Source organism: Homo sapiens, chromosome 4 (assembly GCF_000001405.40).
Source record: "Homo sapiens chromosome 4, GRCh38.p14 Primary Assembly".
NCBI lineage: Eukaryota > Metazoa > Chordata > Mammalia > Primates > Hominidae > Homo > Homo sapiens.
In genome coordinates, this window is record NC_000004.12 from 18,150,952 (window position 1) to 18,167,664 (window position 16,713).

Consider the following 16,713-nt stretch of genomic DNA (forward strand, 5'->3'; position numbering starts at 1 on the left):
CTGAATGTTAGCTTCCCTCCCTATGAAAAAGGAGAAAGCAAAGTAAATGCTCAAATATTATTGTGAATATTAAATGAAGTAAAATGTGTCAAAACCACACACAAATACACACACACACACACACACACACACACACACAACATACCAAGATCTCTGGGATGCAGCAAAAGCAGTATTAAGAGGAAAGTTGATAATGTTAAATGCCTACCTCAGAAAGTGAGAAAGAGCTGAAATTAATGATCTAACATCACACCTAGAGGAACTAGGAAAACAAGAACAAACTAACCACAAAGCTGGCAGAAGAAAAGAAGTAACTAAAATCTGAGTAGAATTGAACAAAATTGAGACCCCAAAATCCATACCAACAAATCAACAAAACTAAAAGTTTGTTTTTTGAAAAGATAAATAAGACTTATAGACTGCTACCCAGATTAACAAAGGATAAAAGATCCAGATAAACACAATCAGAAATGAAAAAGGTGACGTTACAACTGATCCCATGGAAATACAAAAGATCCCCAGACTAATATTAATACTCTACACACAGAAACTAGAAAATCTAGAGGAAATGGTTAAATTCTTGGAAACACACAATCTCCCAAGATTGAATCAGGAAGAAAGTGAAACACTGAACAGAACGATTTTGAGTTGTGAGATTGAGTTAGCAATAAAAAACCTACCAACTAAAGAAAAAGCCCAAGACCAGATGGATTCACAGCCAAATTCTATGAGACCTGTAAAGGAGATCTGGTATCAATTCTAGGGAAACTATTCCAAAAATCTGAGGAGGAGGACCTCCTCCCTAACTCATCCTATGAAGCCAGCATCACTCTGATACCAGAACTTGGCAAACGCATATTAAAAAAAGAAAAGTACAGCCAATGTCCCTGATGAACATAGATGCAAAAGCCCTCTACAAAAATGCTAGCAAACCAAATTCAACAACATATCAAAAAGTTAGTTCACTGTAATCAAGTAGGCTTCATTCCTGGGAAGTAAGGTTGGTTCAACATACACGAATCCATAAAATGTAATTCACCACATAAATAGAACTAAAAACAAAAGCCACATGGTCATCTCAACAGATGCAGAAAAGTTCTTTGAGAAAATCCAACCTCCCTTTATGATAAAAACCCATAAGAAGCTATGAATCAAAGGAACATACCTCAAAATATTAAGAATTATTCATTATTTTGATGATATATCCACAGCCAATTGCATACTAAATGGGTGAAAACTGGAAGCATTCTCCTTGAGAACTGGAACAAACAAGGATCCCCACTCTCACTATTCCTATTAAACATAATATTGGAAGTCCTAGTGAGAGCACTCAGGTAACGGAAAGAAATAAAAAGCATCCAAATAGAAAGAGAAGTCAAACTGTCTCTCTTCGTGGATGATATGATCCCATGCCTAGAAAAACTGCAGACTCACCCAACAAGTTTCTGGAATGGATAAATGACTTGAGTAAAATTTCAAGGTACAAAATCAATGTAAAAAAATCAGTAGCATTTTTATACACCAACAACATCCAAGCTGAGAGCCAAATCAACCATGCGTCCCATTTACAATAGACACACACACACAAACACACACACACACACACACAGAAACATCTTTAATCACACCACTTTGTGAGACCAAGGCAAAAAGATTGCTTGAGCCCAGCAGTTCAAGACCATACTGGGAAACATAGGGAGAACTTCTCTCTACAAAATAAATAAATTAAATAAATAAATAAATAAATAAATATTTTGGACATGGTGGTGCACACCTGTGGTCCCATCTAAACTCAGGAGAATGAGGCAGGAGGAATATCTGGGCCCAGGAGGTCAAGGCTGCCATAAGCCGTGATCACACCACTGCACTGTGGCCTGGGCTACAGAGCAAGAGTCTGTCATCAAAAAAATTAATAAATATATTAAAATAAAATATACTATAATTTACAGAATACGGTTCATGTTGTATTAAAACTCTTGATACTTCAGTTACGTGCAAAGAAAATAATAAAAACAAAGCAGTGAAAAAAATAAAAATATGGTATTATAATCTTATGGGACTGCTGTCTTATATGTGGTCTATCATTGACTAAAACGTCATTATGCAGCACATGACTGTATACAGCCATATACAGATATATAGGAATGAGGAAATATATACACACACATATATATATGGGCATATAAAAATGAAGGAATGCAATTCCTTCAATATAATAAAGTATAAATAAATGTAACCTTAATATAATGAAGGCCACATATGACGAGCCCACAGATCATATCATACTAAATGGTGAAAAGCTGAAAACTTTTCCTCTGAGATCAGGAACAAGCTAGGGATGCTCGCTCTCACCATTTCCATTCAGTATAGTATTAGAAGTCCTAGTCAGAGCAATTTTAGGCAAGAAAAAGAAAAAAAGGCATCCAAATTGGGAAAGAAGAAGTTAAATTGTCTCTGCAGATGACATGATCTTATGAAATCCTAAAGACTACAAACAATAAAACTATTAGAACCAATAAACAAATTCAGTAAAGTTGCAGGATACAGAATGAGCACACAAAATTAATACACAAAATTAATAACATTTTTATACACAAACAATGAACAAGAAAACAATCCCACTTATAATAGCATAAAAATACTTAGGAATAAAGTATTTAACCAAGGAAGTAAAACACTTGCACACTGAATAATATACAATATTGATGAAAGAAATTTCAGATGGCACAAATAAATGGAAAGATACCCTGTGTTCATGGACTAGAAGAATTAATATTGTAAAAATGCCATGTTACCCAATGTGATCTACTGATTCAATGCAATCCTTATCAAAAATCCAGTGACATTTTTTCAGAAAAACAGAAAAAAAACCCCTAAAATTCATATGGAACCACAAAGGACCCTAAATAATCAAGGCAATCTTAAACAAAAAGAACAAAACTGAAGACATCACACCATCTGATTTTAAAATATACTGTAAAGCTATAGTAGTCAAAACAGCATGATACTAGCATAAAAACAGACATATAGCAGAATGGAAAAGAATAGTAAGTCCAGAATAAATTCATGCATTTATGGTAAATTAGTCTTTGACAAAAGTGCCAAGAACACATAATGGGGAAAGGACGATCTCTCCAGTAAATGGTGTTAGGAAAGCTGGATGTCCACATGTGGAAGAATGAAATTTTACCCTTATTTCACAACATAAACAATAATCTGTTCAAACTGGATTAAAAACTTAAACCTGAAACTGTAAAACTACTACAAGAAAACAGGGAAGAATCTTCTTGACACTGGTCTGGACAATGACTTTTTGAATATGACCCAAAAGGACAGTCAACAGAAGCAAAAATAGACAAATGGGATTACACCAAACTAAAAAGCTTGTGTATAGTAATGAAAACAATCAAAAGCATAAAGAGACAATTTACGAATGGGAGAAAATATTTGGAAAACATACATTTGATAAAAGCTTAGTATGCAAAGTATATAAGGAACTCATACAACTCAATAGCAGGAAAACAAAGTAACTCAATTAAGAAATGGGCAAAGGACCTTAACAGACATTTCGTAAAAGAAGATATACAAATGGATAATAGATATTTTAAAAAGCTCAACATCATTAATTATCAGGGAAATTCAAGTGGAAATATTTTGTTTTAAAATGGACTCTTTCAAACTTTTCTTAGGGTTAGTTTTCAATTACTATTTTAAGAAACCTTTTAAGCAGAAATACACTTAGACATCACCCAGTGTTGTATAGTAAGTGGTGATATAAAAATAAAATATTTCCTCTCATAAGGGCAGGTATCCTTTCTTCTTGTTGGGAAGTGGCTCAACATAGACAATTTACATAACATATGTAAAAAGTGTGCTGTCATTTTCTAAATACAAATATTGATTTTTTTCCCTGATTGACTGTATTCATTTGAAAGGATATAATTAAGGAGTCTCATATGACAATACTTGCAACTAGACCATTAGAAATGCAAAGAGCTTATCACAAGCTAATCAGGCCTTTTCCATGGTTTAAGACCTGTGTCTATGAAATCTCTCTCTCTCAAATAAACCGAGAGTCCCAGTGTTTGGTTTTCTTACGAAACACAATTCAACAAAAATATTTAAGTTAAAGAGAATTCCATTATTTATTGTCACTTCTAAAAATTATTAAAAGGATTCAAACTTACAGGGCAATGAACAGTACAGTATTTTAAGATGACTGCCAAGATTCCCATCCTGTGGTTCACATATTTTATATAGTCTCTGGAGCCTATGACTATGATGCAATATCATTCACATGATTGGGTTACTAATTAACTCTGAGTTACTCAAAAGGGGGGATTATCCTGGATGAATCTGATCTAATCAGACAAGTCTTTAGAAGAAGTACTAATGTGATGTGATGATGAGACATGAGGCAAAGAATTGAGAGTGCTCTCCAGCCTCTAAGAGCTAGCAAGAAAATGGGGACTTTTCCAGTCCTGCAACCACAAAGGGAATCCAGTCAACAACTGAATTCAGTGAACACCTTGAAAGAACTTGGAAGAGAGCCCAATGCTCCAAAGGGGAGCTGTAGCACAAGAGGCACCTTGATTCCAGGCTTGCGAGAGGCTGGACAGAAGATCCAGCTAAGGTGTGCCTGGACTCCTGACCCAAGAAAACTGTGAGATAATAAATTTGTGTTGTTTGAAGTCTCTACGTTTGGGGTACTCTGTGATGCAGCAATAGAAAAACAAATAATACAGTTTTTGCAACATTTACTAGAATCCCTTTTCCTGCTCTATACTGTTCTCTCACCTCCACAGGCTCATTCAACTCATTCACTTCTCTAAAAGCTTCCTCCTTTATGTCCAGTCTGATTAGCTTTCTTATGCTTTCCTCCCTTCTAATGCCCACTCAGCATTTTAATAGGAAGATTAACTTAACTTTCCTTCCAGCAGAAATCTTTCCTCCCCTAGAAGAAGTAAGGAGGTGGGTTAGGCAGGCAATTTTAGGAATCTCTTGCACCCAAAAAGGAGTGGATTAGTCTATGTCCAGTCTTTTGTGACAGTTTTTGGACCTATGTGCACACACTTACACAGACTGCACATGCATGATGATGCTTAACCATTTGCTTTTGACTTCTAAGTGAAAACAAAGCATATTTAGCCCACTCAAGTTTTTCCCCAGACATCCAAGAATGGCTTATCTTCATTTTGGATCCTTGGTGAAAATGGAATTCTCTTCCAATATCTCTTCACTTTTTTCCATATAGTAGAAGTTTTATCATTGAGCACCTGACCAGTCAATTATATAGATTACCTTTTCTCACCTCTCTTATAGCTAGGATATGATGAATAGGATGTATGAGAAGGTGATATTTGCAACTTCTAGGGCATGTCTATAAAGGAAAAGGGTTTGCCATTTCACCTTTTCCATTTCCTATTGGCAGGAATGTGGCAATGATGGCAGGGCACTGTTCAGCCATATTGGATGAAGAGATGGAAGTCACATGAGGACAATCGCAGGGCCACAAGATAGAAGAAACCTGGGTGCAAGGGAATTTAAGGGTAGCTTCTTGTGACAGCAGCTACTAATTGTCCCCAATATTTGTTCTCCATTTCTTCTCCTTTTTAGTATTGGGTGTCTGCCTCCAGACTTATCTAGACACATAGGAAACCAGCTGGATAACTCATTTCCTAGCCTCCCTTGCAGTATGGTCATGTGACCAAGTCCTCATCCATGAATTTTAAGCAGGAATGGTGAGCTGAAGTTCTGCCTTTTTCTAATTAAAACATGGTCATTACCCTTGTTGTCTTTTTGGGATAGAAGTTAGGTCAGTCCAGTCCTGGAGATAACCAAGGTGGCTTACTGTTTGAAATTTTTGTATCAATTGGACAAATCATCTAGTATCTGTTACCAATATGTAGAATAACAATAGCAAGCAGGCCATTTGGTTTACCTGCTCTTCCTTTAGGCTTCTTTGGTTCACTGTCAGACCTTTATAAAATACTATACTGGCATTGTTTCTTTAGTTGTCTGTTTTGTACACTAGATTGTGGTTCCTGGAAGACTAAAATTTATCATCATATTTCTCTGAATTCCCAGTTCCTGGAATAGCACCTGATACACAAAAGGCATCCAGCCAATGTTTGCTGAACAAAGAAATGAAGGTAATGTTTGAAATGAAGGTAATGTATGAAGTTGAGAGGGAATGAAGGGAAGGCAGAATAAACACAGAATTGAGAATCAGGAAAACTTGAAGAGATTATTTCCAAAGCTCTTATTGGTTACAGAGTTGGTTGGTGACATATCCAGAATATGATTTTGCTGGCTAACTTCTAGTCTATACTTTTACTACACCCATGTAGCTACAATTACATTCAGATCAGGAGACGTTTAGGAAGGACATCTTCTTTCTTTCTTTTTTGAGATGGAGTCTTGCTCTGTTGCCCAGGCTAGAGTGCAGTGGCATGATCTCAGCTCACTGGAACCTCTGCCTCCCAGGTTCAAGCGATTCTCCTGTCTCAGCCTCCTGAGTAGCTGGGATTACAGGCACCCACCACCGCACCCAGATAATTTTTGTATTTTTAGCAGAGACAGGGTTTCATCATCTTGGTCAGGCTGGTCTTGAACTCCTGACCTCAGGTGATCCACCTGCTTTGGCCTCCCAAAGTCCTGGGATTACAGGTGGGAGCCACTGCACCTGGCCAGGAAGGACAGCTTAAGGAGAGGTTATAGACAGGAGCAGGAGACAAAGGAGAATAGAAGTGGGTACACATACCAATGAGCATGGGTGTTGATATGGTTTGGCTGTGTCCCCACCCAAATCATCTTGAATTCTAACTCCCACAATTCCCTTGTGTCATGGGAGGGACCCAGTGGGAGGTAATTGAATCATGGGGGTAGGTCTTTCTTGTGCTGTTCTCATGATAGTGAATAAGTCTCACGAGATCTGTGGTTTTTATAAGCAGTTTCCCCTTTCGCTTGGCTCTCATTCTCTCGTCTCATGCCATGTAAGACATGCCTTTTGCTTTCCACTATGATTGTAAGGCCTCCCCAGCCATGTGGAACTGTGAGTCAATTAAACCTCTTTTTCTCTGTAGACTGTCCAGTCTTGGGTATGTATTTATCAGCAGCATGAAAACAGACTCATACAGGTGTGTACCCCTAGAGTGGATTTTGGCAGAATACATTAATGCCTGAATTTTCATTTCTCTATTTATCCATGCCCATTGCCATGTAACTTTTCCGTTTATTCCATTAAAGAGGCAGAGTATGTTTCTCTGCCCCTTTATTTTGGGTTTAGTCACATGACTTGCTTTTGCCAGTGGAATTTTTGTACTAATGACGTGAGCAAGCTTGCTCTATTTTGTCTCTGCTATGATCACAAAACATGAAAGGCTGCCTGCATTTACTAGGAGAAGGATGACAACCACATGGAGCAGAGAAGAGTTTCTATGGTTGAACCCAGGCCGGTGTGTCCGGAATTGGTGGGTTCTTGGTCTCACTGACTTCAAGAATGAAGCCGCGGACTCTCGCGGTGAGTGTTACAGCTCTTAAGGTGGCGCCTCTGGAGTTTGTTCCTTCTGATGTTCTGATGTGTTCGGAGTTTCTTCTTTCTGGTGGGTTCATGGTCTCACTGGCTCAGGAGTGAAGCTGCAGACCTTCGCGGTGAGTGTTACAGCTCCTAAGGCGGGGCGTCTGGAGTTGTTGTTTCTCCCGGTGGGCTCATGCTCTCGCTGGCTTCAGGAGTGAAGCTGCAGACTTTTGCGGTGAGTGTTACAGCTCATAAAAGCAGTGTGGACCCAGAGAGTGAGCAGCAGCAAGATTTATTGCAAAGAGTGAAAGAACAAAGCTCCCACAGCGTGAAAGGGGACCTGAGTGGGTTGCCGCAGCTGGCTCGGGCAGCCTGCTTTTATTCTCTTATCTGGCCCCACCCACATCCTGCTGATTCGTAGAGCCGAGTGGCCTGTTTTGACAGGGCACTGATTGGTGCGTTTACAATCCCTGAGCTAGATACAAAGGTTCTCCTTGTCCCCATCAGATTAGTTAGATATGGAGTATGGACACAAAGGTTCTCCAAGGCCCCACCAGAGCAGCTAGATACAGAGTGTCGATTGGTGCACTCACAAACTCTAAGCTAGACACAGGGTGCTGATTGGTGTGTTTACAAACCCTGAGCTAGATACAGACTGCCGATTGGTGTATTTACAATCCCTGAGCTAGACATATTCTCCAAGGCCCCACCAGACTCAGCAGCCCAGCTGGCTTCACCCAGTGGATCCCGCACCGGGGCTGCAGGTGGAGCTGCCTGCCAGTCCCGCGCCGTGCCCCCGCACTCCTCAGCCCTTGTGTGGCCTATGGGACTGGGTGCCGTGGAGCAGGGGGCGGCGCTCGTCAGGGAGTCTCGGGCTGCACAGGAACCCACCCAGGCGGGGGAAGGCTCAGGCATGGCGGGCTGCAGTCCCGAGGCCTGCCCCGCTGGAAGGCAGCTAAGGCCCGGCGAGAAATCGAGCGCAGCGCCGGTGGGCTGGCACTGCTGGGGGACCCAGTACACCCTCCGCAGCCGCTGGCCCGGGTGCTAACTCCCTCATTGCCCGGGGCCGGCAGGGCCGGCCGGCTGCTCCGAGTGCGGGGCCCGCCAAGCCCACGCCCACCCGGAACTCCAGCTGGCTCGCAAGCGCAGCCCGCAGCCCCGGTTCCCGCTCGCGCCTCTCCCTCCACACCTACCTGCAAGCTGAGTGAGTGGGCTCCGGCCTTGGCCAGCCCAGAAAGGGGCTCCCACAGTGCAGCGGTGGGCTGAAGGGCTTCTCAAGTGCCACCAAAGTGCGAGCCCAGGCAGAGGAGGCGCCCAGAGCGAGCGAGGGCTGTGAGGACTGCCAGCACGCTGTCACCTCTCACCGGGATCTGCTGCGTCCCTGTCCGCCTTCAGATGTGTTAATGAGACCAGGTGAGAGCAGTTGAGTGGCTCAGTTGAGTCCAGGGTAAATCAATCTACACTGTAGCCATGAGATAAATTTTTAAAAATCCCTTTTATTGTATGCTGCTGATATAGCACAGCACAATCATAACCATAATTACCTGATGGGGGTTATGGCTAGAAATAGGTGATATGGATGAAGGGGAATGATGTCAGCAAAGCTCTCTTGAAAAGGACTTGTTGGAATTTAGGATTGCATTTCAGTGGTAGGGTGAAGCCTGTGAAATGCCACATTTGCATGTTAGTCTCCTAGGGGTGTCCTCATCACACATATTTCAGTTCTAGATGACAATATTTCAATGTAGGAGTGATTATTTTCATTTTACAAAGACCAGAGTCATGAAATAGCACCTTTCCTGAACTATGCCATAAAGGCTAGATAGGGATAAATGAGAAACAAGATAAATAATTAACTGACTCTAACTGACTCTCAATTATTGCTACATGGTTGGACAATTAGAGGAAAATGTACTTTATTAAAAGATGTGGAACTCAAAATTATTTGTAATATTTGAACAATAAACAGCCTTTGCTTAATGGATAGAGATACTATTTCACTTCACCAACACGTTTGCCCTGTATGATTGGAGAACTTGGGCACTGCCAAAAATACATTATTGGCTTTAAATTATCGTAGAAAAGTGAAACGCTCCTAGCTAGGTATTTTTCGAATTCCTCTTAATTTACGTCCAGGGGCTCAATACTGAGAAGACACTCTTTTCTCCCATTTCTCCTTCTTCAGCCAAGTCCTCTGCCTCTATCATCCTTAAATCTCTTCTTTTTCTTTCATTTTGTTTTTGCCTCTAGAAGGAATTTCCTCCCATCAAAAAGGCTTTTTTTTTTTTTTTTTTCTTTTTGAGATGGAGTTTTGCTCTCTCACCCAGGCTGGAGTGCAGTGGCACAATCTCAGCTCACTGCAACCACCACCTCCCAAGTTCAAGCAATTCTCCCATCTCAGCTTCCCGAGTAGCTGGGATTACAAGTGCATGCCACCATGCCCGGCTAATTTTTGTATTTTTGGTAGAGACAGGGTTTCACTATGTTGGCCAAGCTGGTCTCGAACTCCTGACCTCAGGTGATCCACCCGCCTCGGCCTCCCAAAGTATTGGGATTACAGGTGTGAGCCACTGTGCCCGGCCCAAAAAGGCTTTTCAACTTTAGTATTCTCATATTCCCATGCCTTTTATTCATAACTCATCCCACATCTGGTTCGTTCCAAGAAAAATACCAAATTCAGTTAGGGTAAGGCTCCCCAATTATCTGAGAAGAGGCCAAGCTACTATAATAAGGAGACTCCTAACTACAGAGGCTCATGGAAGAGAGGTTTATTTCTCTTAATTAATGGTTCAAAGGGAGGCAGTAGTCCAAGACAGGAAGATCACTCTGCCTCACGAGGGTCAGCTGGGAATCCAGTCTGGGTCCTTTGATCATGTTGTCCTGCTATTGACTAGGGTGTTGTCTGCATTTTTGACAGTGGTGTTCTATGACCACATTTATGTTCTAGTCTATAGGAAGAGGAAAGCAGAGAAGTAGAGGAAAAGTGATTCCCATTTAATGAAGTGATATAAAAGCTTCATGCAAAACTGCTGTTTACATTCCACTAGTGAGAACATAGCCACATTGCCATATTTAGCTGCAATGGAGTCTTGGAAAATGGATTAGACAATTAGTGGACTACATGTCATGCAAAACTGTGTTGTGGGGATGCAATATTAAAAGAGAGAAGGGAAGTCTGGATATTATGGTCAATTAGCAGGCTCCCTTAATTTCCCGGAAGGGCACACGTATATATTGCATGAGTGCTTTTCTCTAGTACTAAAACTCCTTAGTGGAGCTAAGGGGTAGATCTTGATAGACCAGCTACTCCCATCTTATGAGGGATAAGAAATGCTGTAGAAATCTTCCAGGTCGGATTTGAAGATCTTGTGATGCTGAGCCTACAAGCCAGTCAGTGAACTGCCCCCTCCTTCAACTGAACTAGTCAATTAACTACTTAAAATAGGAAAATGAAGACATCACCATACTTATAAAATACATAGGGAAGAATTACAGAAAGTCTTTTCTTCCTTCAGAAGTACTTCCCTTGAACAAAAGGTCTGAGGAAAAGTTTAGCAAAACATATTACTGTATAGTAATTGTGAATCCTGTTTCACCAAATACTAAAGCATCCTGAAGATGTTATCTCCTCATATATTGCAATGATAAGGTCCCTAATAATTTTCTGGTTTATTTGGAGAGGTCTTGGTTGGGGGGGTCTTTAAATTTTTTTTTATACATTCAGGGGGTACATGTGCATGTTTGTTATAGGGATATATTGTGTAGTGGTGGGGTTTGTGCTTCTAGTGCACACATCATCCAAACAGTAAATATTGTACCCACTAGGTAGTTTTCAACACTCACTTCCCATTTTGGAGTCCCCAGTGTCTATTATTTCTCTCTGTATGTTCATGTGTACCCATTGTTAAGCTCCTACTTACAAGTGAGAACATGTAGTATTTGATTTATTTTAATTAATTAATTAAATTGTAATTAATTAATTAAATTTTGTTAGAGACAGAGTCTTGCTATGTTGTGTAGGCTGGTCTTGAACTTCTGGCCTTAAGTGATCTTTCAACACCTCACTTGGGGCCAGGAGTCATTTAGGATAATGGCCTCCAGCTCCATCCATGTTGCTGCAAAAGACATAATCTTATTCTTTTTTAGGGCTGCATATTATTCCATGATATATATGTACCACATTTTCTTTACCCAATCATCCGTTGATAGACACTTAGATTGATTTCATGACTTTGCTATTGTGGATAGTGCTGCAATAAACATGAGTGCAGGTGTCTCTTTAATATAATGACTTCTTTTCCTTTGGGTGGATACCCAGTGGTGGGGTTGCTATGTCAAATTATAGTTCTATTTTTAGTACTTTGAGAAATCTGATTTCCACAGTTTGCTCTAGTTTACATTCTTACCAACAGTTTATAAGCATTCCCTTTTCTCTGCATTCTTGTCTACATCTGTTGTTTGACTTTTTAATAATAGCCCTCTGATTGGTGTGAGATGCTATCTCATTGTAGTTTTAATTTGTATTTCTCTGATGATTAGTGATGTTGAGCATTTTTTCATATGTTTGTTGGCTGCTTGTGTATCTTCTTTTGAGATATGTCTGTTTACATCCTTTGCCCACTTTTTAATGACATTGTTTTTTCTTGTTGAGTTATTTAAGTTCTTTGTAGAGTCTGGATATTCTTTGTCAGATGCATATTTTGCAAATATTTTTTCTCATTCTGTAGATTATTGGTTTACTCTTTTATTTCTTTTTCTGTACAGAAGCTTTTTAGTTTAATTAAGTCCCATTTATCTATTTTTGTTTTTGTTGCATTTGCTTTTGAGGCCTCTATCATAAATTCTTTTCCTAGGCCTATGTCGTGAAGAATTTTTCTAGGTTTTCTTCCAGGATTTTTTATAGTTTCAGGTATTACATTTAAGTACTTCACCCACCTTGAGTTATTTTTTGTATATGATGACAGATAGGAGTCCAGTTTCATTCTTTGGTATATGGCTATCTAATTTTTTCAGTACCACATGTTGAATAGGCTGTCCTTCTGTGGGGGATCTTTGAAATAAATGCAACTTTTTCATTTTGCTTCATTCTGTTCATTTCATTTTACTTTCCATTTAATTCCAGGCACATGTTTTTTTCCTTTTTCTTTTTAAATTTGTATAAATTTAAGGGAGTACAAGTGTAATTCTGGCACCTACATATATTGTATAGTGGTGAAGTCCTGGCTTTTGGTATATTCATCACCTGAATAATGCACACTGTATCTATTAAAATTTCTCATGACCCTCCTCCCTTAAACCTCCTTACCCTCTGAGTTTCCAGTGTCTATCATTTCACACTCTATGTCCACATGTACACATTATTTAGTTCCTGCATATAAGTAAGAATATGTGGTATTTGACTTTGTTTCTGAGTTGTTTCACTTAAGATAATGGCCTCCAGTTTTATTCATGTTGCTGCAAAACACGATTTTAATCTTTTTTATGGCTAAATAGTTTTCCATTGCCTATAAACACCACATTTGCTTTATTCAGTCATACTTTGATGGATACTTAGGTTTATTTCATATGTTTGCTATGTTTTTTCCCTCCCTCCCTCCTTCCTTCCTTCCTTCTTTCCTTCCTTCCTTCCTTCCCTTTGTTTCTGTTGTAACAGTCAATGTTGAGTCGGGAGACAGACCTCATTCAGTTATTTATTTTATAAACAATCTTATTGACGTAGAATTGATTTATAGTGAACTGTGCATATTTAGTGTGTAAAATTTGATGTTTTGACGTATGCATACATGTACAAAATCATTACTATAATCAAGATCATGACCATCTCTGTTATCTCCAACAGTTTCTTTGTGCCTCTTTGTAATTTCTCTTTTCCTTCTACCCAACACCTGTCTCATCCTCAGGCAACCACTGATCTACTTTTGTTATTGTAGATCACTGTTTGCATTTCCTAAAACTTAAGAAAAATGGAACAATGTGATATAAGTGTATGTTTTCTGTCTTCTTTCATACATCATAATTATTTTGTGAGTAGTCTATGTTGTAGCATGTATCAATAGTTCATTCCCTTGTATTGCTGAATAGTACTGATGTAATTTGAATTTATTGGCACATAATTAGTCACAAAATTCCTTTCTTATTTTTTAATATCTGTAGAATCTGTGGTAATTTCACTTCTCTCATTCCTGATATTGTAAGTTGATATTGGTCAGGCTAGAATTTTATCAATTATTTTCATTTTCTCAAAGAACAACATTTTGGTGTAATTGATTGTCTCTATTTTTTTTCCTATGTCATTGATTTCCACTCCAATTTTTGTTATTCTTCCTTTCTACTTAATTTGAGTTTAATTTGTTCTTCTTTTTCTAACCTCTTAATGAAGAATTAAAGTTTATATATTTGAGAACTTCCTTCTTTTTAATGTAGCATTTAGTGCCATAAATGTCCCACTAAGTACTGCTTTAATGGCATCCCACAAATTTTTACGTGTTGTGTTTTCATTTTCATTTATTTCAATTAAAAACACTTTCTAACTTTTCTTTTGATTTCTTTTTTGACCTGTGTGTTATTAGAAATTTGTATTTACAATTCAAATATTTTTGTGTTTTCCAGAGATGTTTATACTACTGGGTTCTAATAAAATTCCACTCTGGCCAGATAACTTACCTTTAAATTCATTAAATTTTTTAAATGCCCAGAATATGATAACTCCTAGCAAACGTTCTGTGTACATTTGAAAAAGAGTTTACTCTGAGGTTGCTGTGTGGACCATACTACAAATATCAATTAGATCAAGTTGGTTGAAAGTGTTGTTCAAATCTTCTGCGTTCTTACTGATTTTCTGCTTATTTGTTCTACCGATTATGGAGAAAGGGGTATTGAAATATCTCATTAAAATTAATTTCTTTTTTTCTACCTTCAGTTCCATCAATTTTTGCATCTTATGTTCTGAAACTCTGTTATTGGTGAATAGACAAACCTAAATATGAAAGCCAAAATGTTAAAACTTCTAGAATAAAACACGGAAGTAAGTCTTCGTGACTTAGAGTAGGCAAAGAGTACTTAGGTCAAGCACAATAATCATGCATCAGAAAAGAAAAACTGATAATTTGGAATTCAACAAAATTAAAACCTTCTGTTCTTGGAAGACACAGGAAATAAAATGGGAAGCTCTGGTGTATTCGTTGGCTTGGGCTGCCATAACAAAATCCCATTGGTGAGGTGGCTTAAGTAACTTATTTCTCACAGTTTTGAAGGTTGGAAGTTTGATCAGAGTTACAGCTTGGTTGGTTTCTGGTTAGAGCTGTCTTTCTGGCTTTCAGATGGCAGCCTTCTTACTATGTCCTCAACTTAGCAGAGAGACAGCTCTGGTATCTCTTCCTCTTCTCATAAGGGCACTAATCCCATCATGAGGGCTTCACCTCCTGAGTGCATCCAAACCTAATTATCTCTCAAAGGCCCTATTTCCAAATTCTATTACACTGGGGGTTAGGGCTTTAACGTTTGAACTTTGAGGAACACAATTCAGTCAGTTGAGCATGAACTCTGAGAAAATATGACAGTATATAAATCTGATAAAGAAGTTGCTCTTAGAATCTATAAAGAACTCTTGTACATCAATAGCAGAAGACAAATTACTTAATAAGTGGACAAACAAAATATTTAAACAGGTACTTTACAAAGAAGATATCTGACTAATAAACATTGAAAAAATGCTAACAATTATTAGTTACTAGAAAATGCAATTCAACCACAATGAGATACCCCTACACACCCCTGGAAAGATGAACATTAAAAGATTGACCACACCAAATGCTGGTGAGCGTGTGCAGGAGCACAAAGGTACTTTTTGAGATGATGAAAATGATCTGTATTTTAATTGGAATGATGATTACTTTAGTATATGTGAAAACAAAACTTTAAAATGGAACTAGAACTTACATGCACTGCTGATGGGAATATATTACAATCACTTTCAAAAGCAGTTTGACAGTAAAGCTAGATATACAACCACCATATTACTCACCAATCTCATTACTAGATATTCACCCAAGAGAAATAAAAATATGTCCATTCAAAGACTTTTACATGAATGGCATAGTAGTTTCATTCATAATAGCCCCAAACTGGGAACAGCCATATGTTCAACAACAGGTGACTAGATAAATAAACTATAGTACATCTATGCGAAGAAGTATTATTGGCAACAAGAAAAACATTACTGATTCTTGCCACCATGTGGATGAAACTTTAAGACTGAGACCACATTTGCAAAATTATGACTGAGACAGTGAAAGAGATCTGACCTAACCAACTCCATCTTGCTTCTAACCTCTAAGCTATTCTTGTTCATCCTTGGGTGTAGGCTAAACTTACTTTGGGAGAAACTTAGTTTATAATTTAAAACAAAGACAATAACAGCCCTTTCCCAAAGCAGACCTCCTTCTTGTCTAGGGACTAGATTGCCTTTGCAGGACTAATACTAGCCACAAGGTTAGAAATTATGGTTTAAGAGTCAGGCAGCTGGAGGCTACAAGATTCTGACCCTCCCTAAACTGCTCCTAAGATCAGTGACTGAAATATTTTGCAGACTCTGCACTTAATGGATCAGTTGGCACCACCCAGATTGATTAACTGGCTCATCTAATCTTGTGGCCCCCACCCAGGAACTGACTCAGCACAAGAAGACAGCTTCAACTCCCTATGATTTAATCTCTGACCAATCAGCACTCCTGGATCACTGGCTCTCTCCCACCCACCAAATTGTCCTTAAAAACTCTGCTCCCCGAATACTCAGAGACTGATTTGAGTAATAATGAAACTCTGGTCTCCTGCACAGCCGCCTCTGCGTGAATTATTCTTTCTCTATTGGAATTCCCTTGTCTTCATAAATTGGTTCTGTCTAGGCAGCGGGCAAGGTGAACCCATTGAGCAGTTACAATACATTATATTCAACAAATGAAGCCAGACACAGAAAGATACATACTTCATGATTTCAATATACGAAATTGTAAAAAAAAAAAAAAGGCAAAATTAGACAATGGTGACAGAACATACATCATTTGTTTTCTGAGACCATCTGTGAAGTGGGGTATTGATTGTAAAAGAGCACAAAAGTACTTTTTGGGTGATAAAAATGACCTGTATTTTTATTGGAATGAAGATTACATTAGTATAGGTGAAAACAAAACTATTAA

At 38.7% G+C, this 16,713-nt stretch overlaps 1 long non-coding RNA gene across 1 annotated transcript, besides 1 other annotated feature; it reads left to right on the plus strand.

Moving 5' to 3' along the window:
* Window positions 1–4,381: 4,381 nt before the first annotated feature.
* On the plus strand, window positions 4,382–6,447 carry LOC107986220 (uncharacterized). Its single transcript, XR_001741499.1, has 3 exons — window positions 4,382–4,663; window positions 5,617–5,741; window positions 6,088–6,447. It is a non-coding gene; the product is annotated as an uncharacterized LOC107986220 (long non-coding RNA).
* Window positions 8,359–8,865: an enhancer, noted in NCBI's record as "H3K27ac-H3K4me1 hESC enhancer chr4:18160933-18161439 (GRCh37/hg19 assembly coordinates)". NCBI's record gives its function as "activates a minimal SCP1, AML or CMV promoter by ChIP-STARR-seq in primed H9 embryonic stem cells {active_cell/tissue: H9 hESC(primed)}" and the evidence as "EXISTENCE:reporter gene assay evidence [ECO:0000049][PMID:30033119]".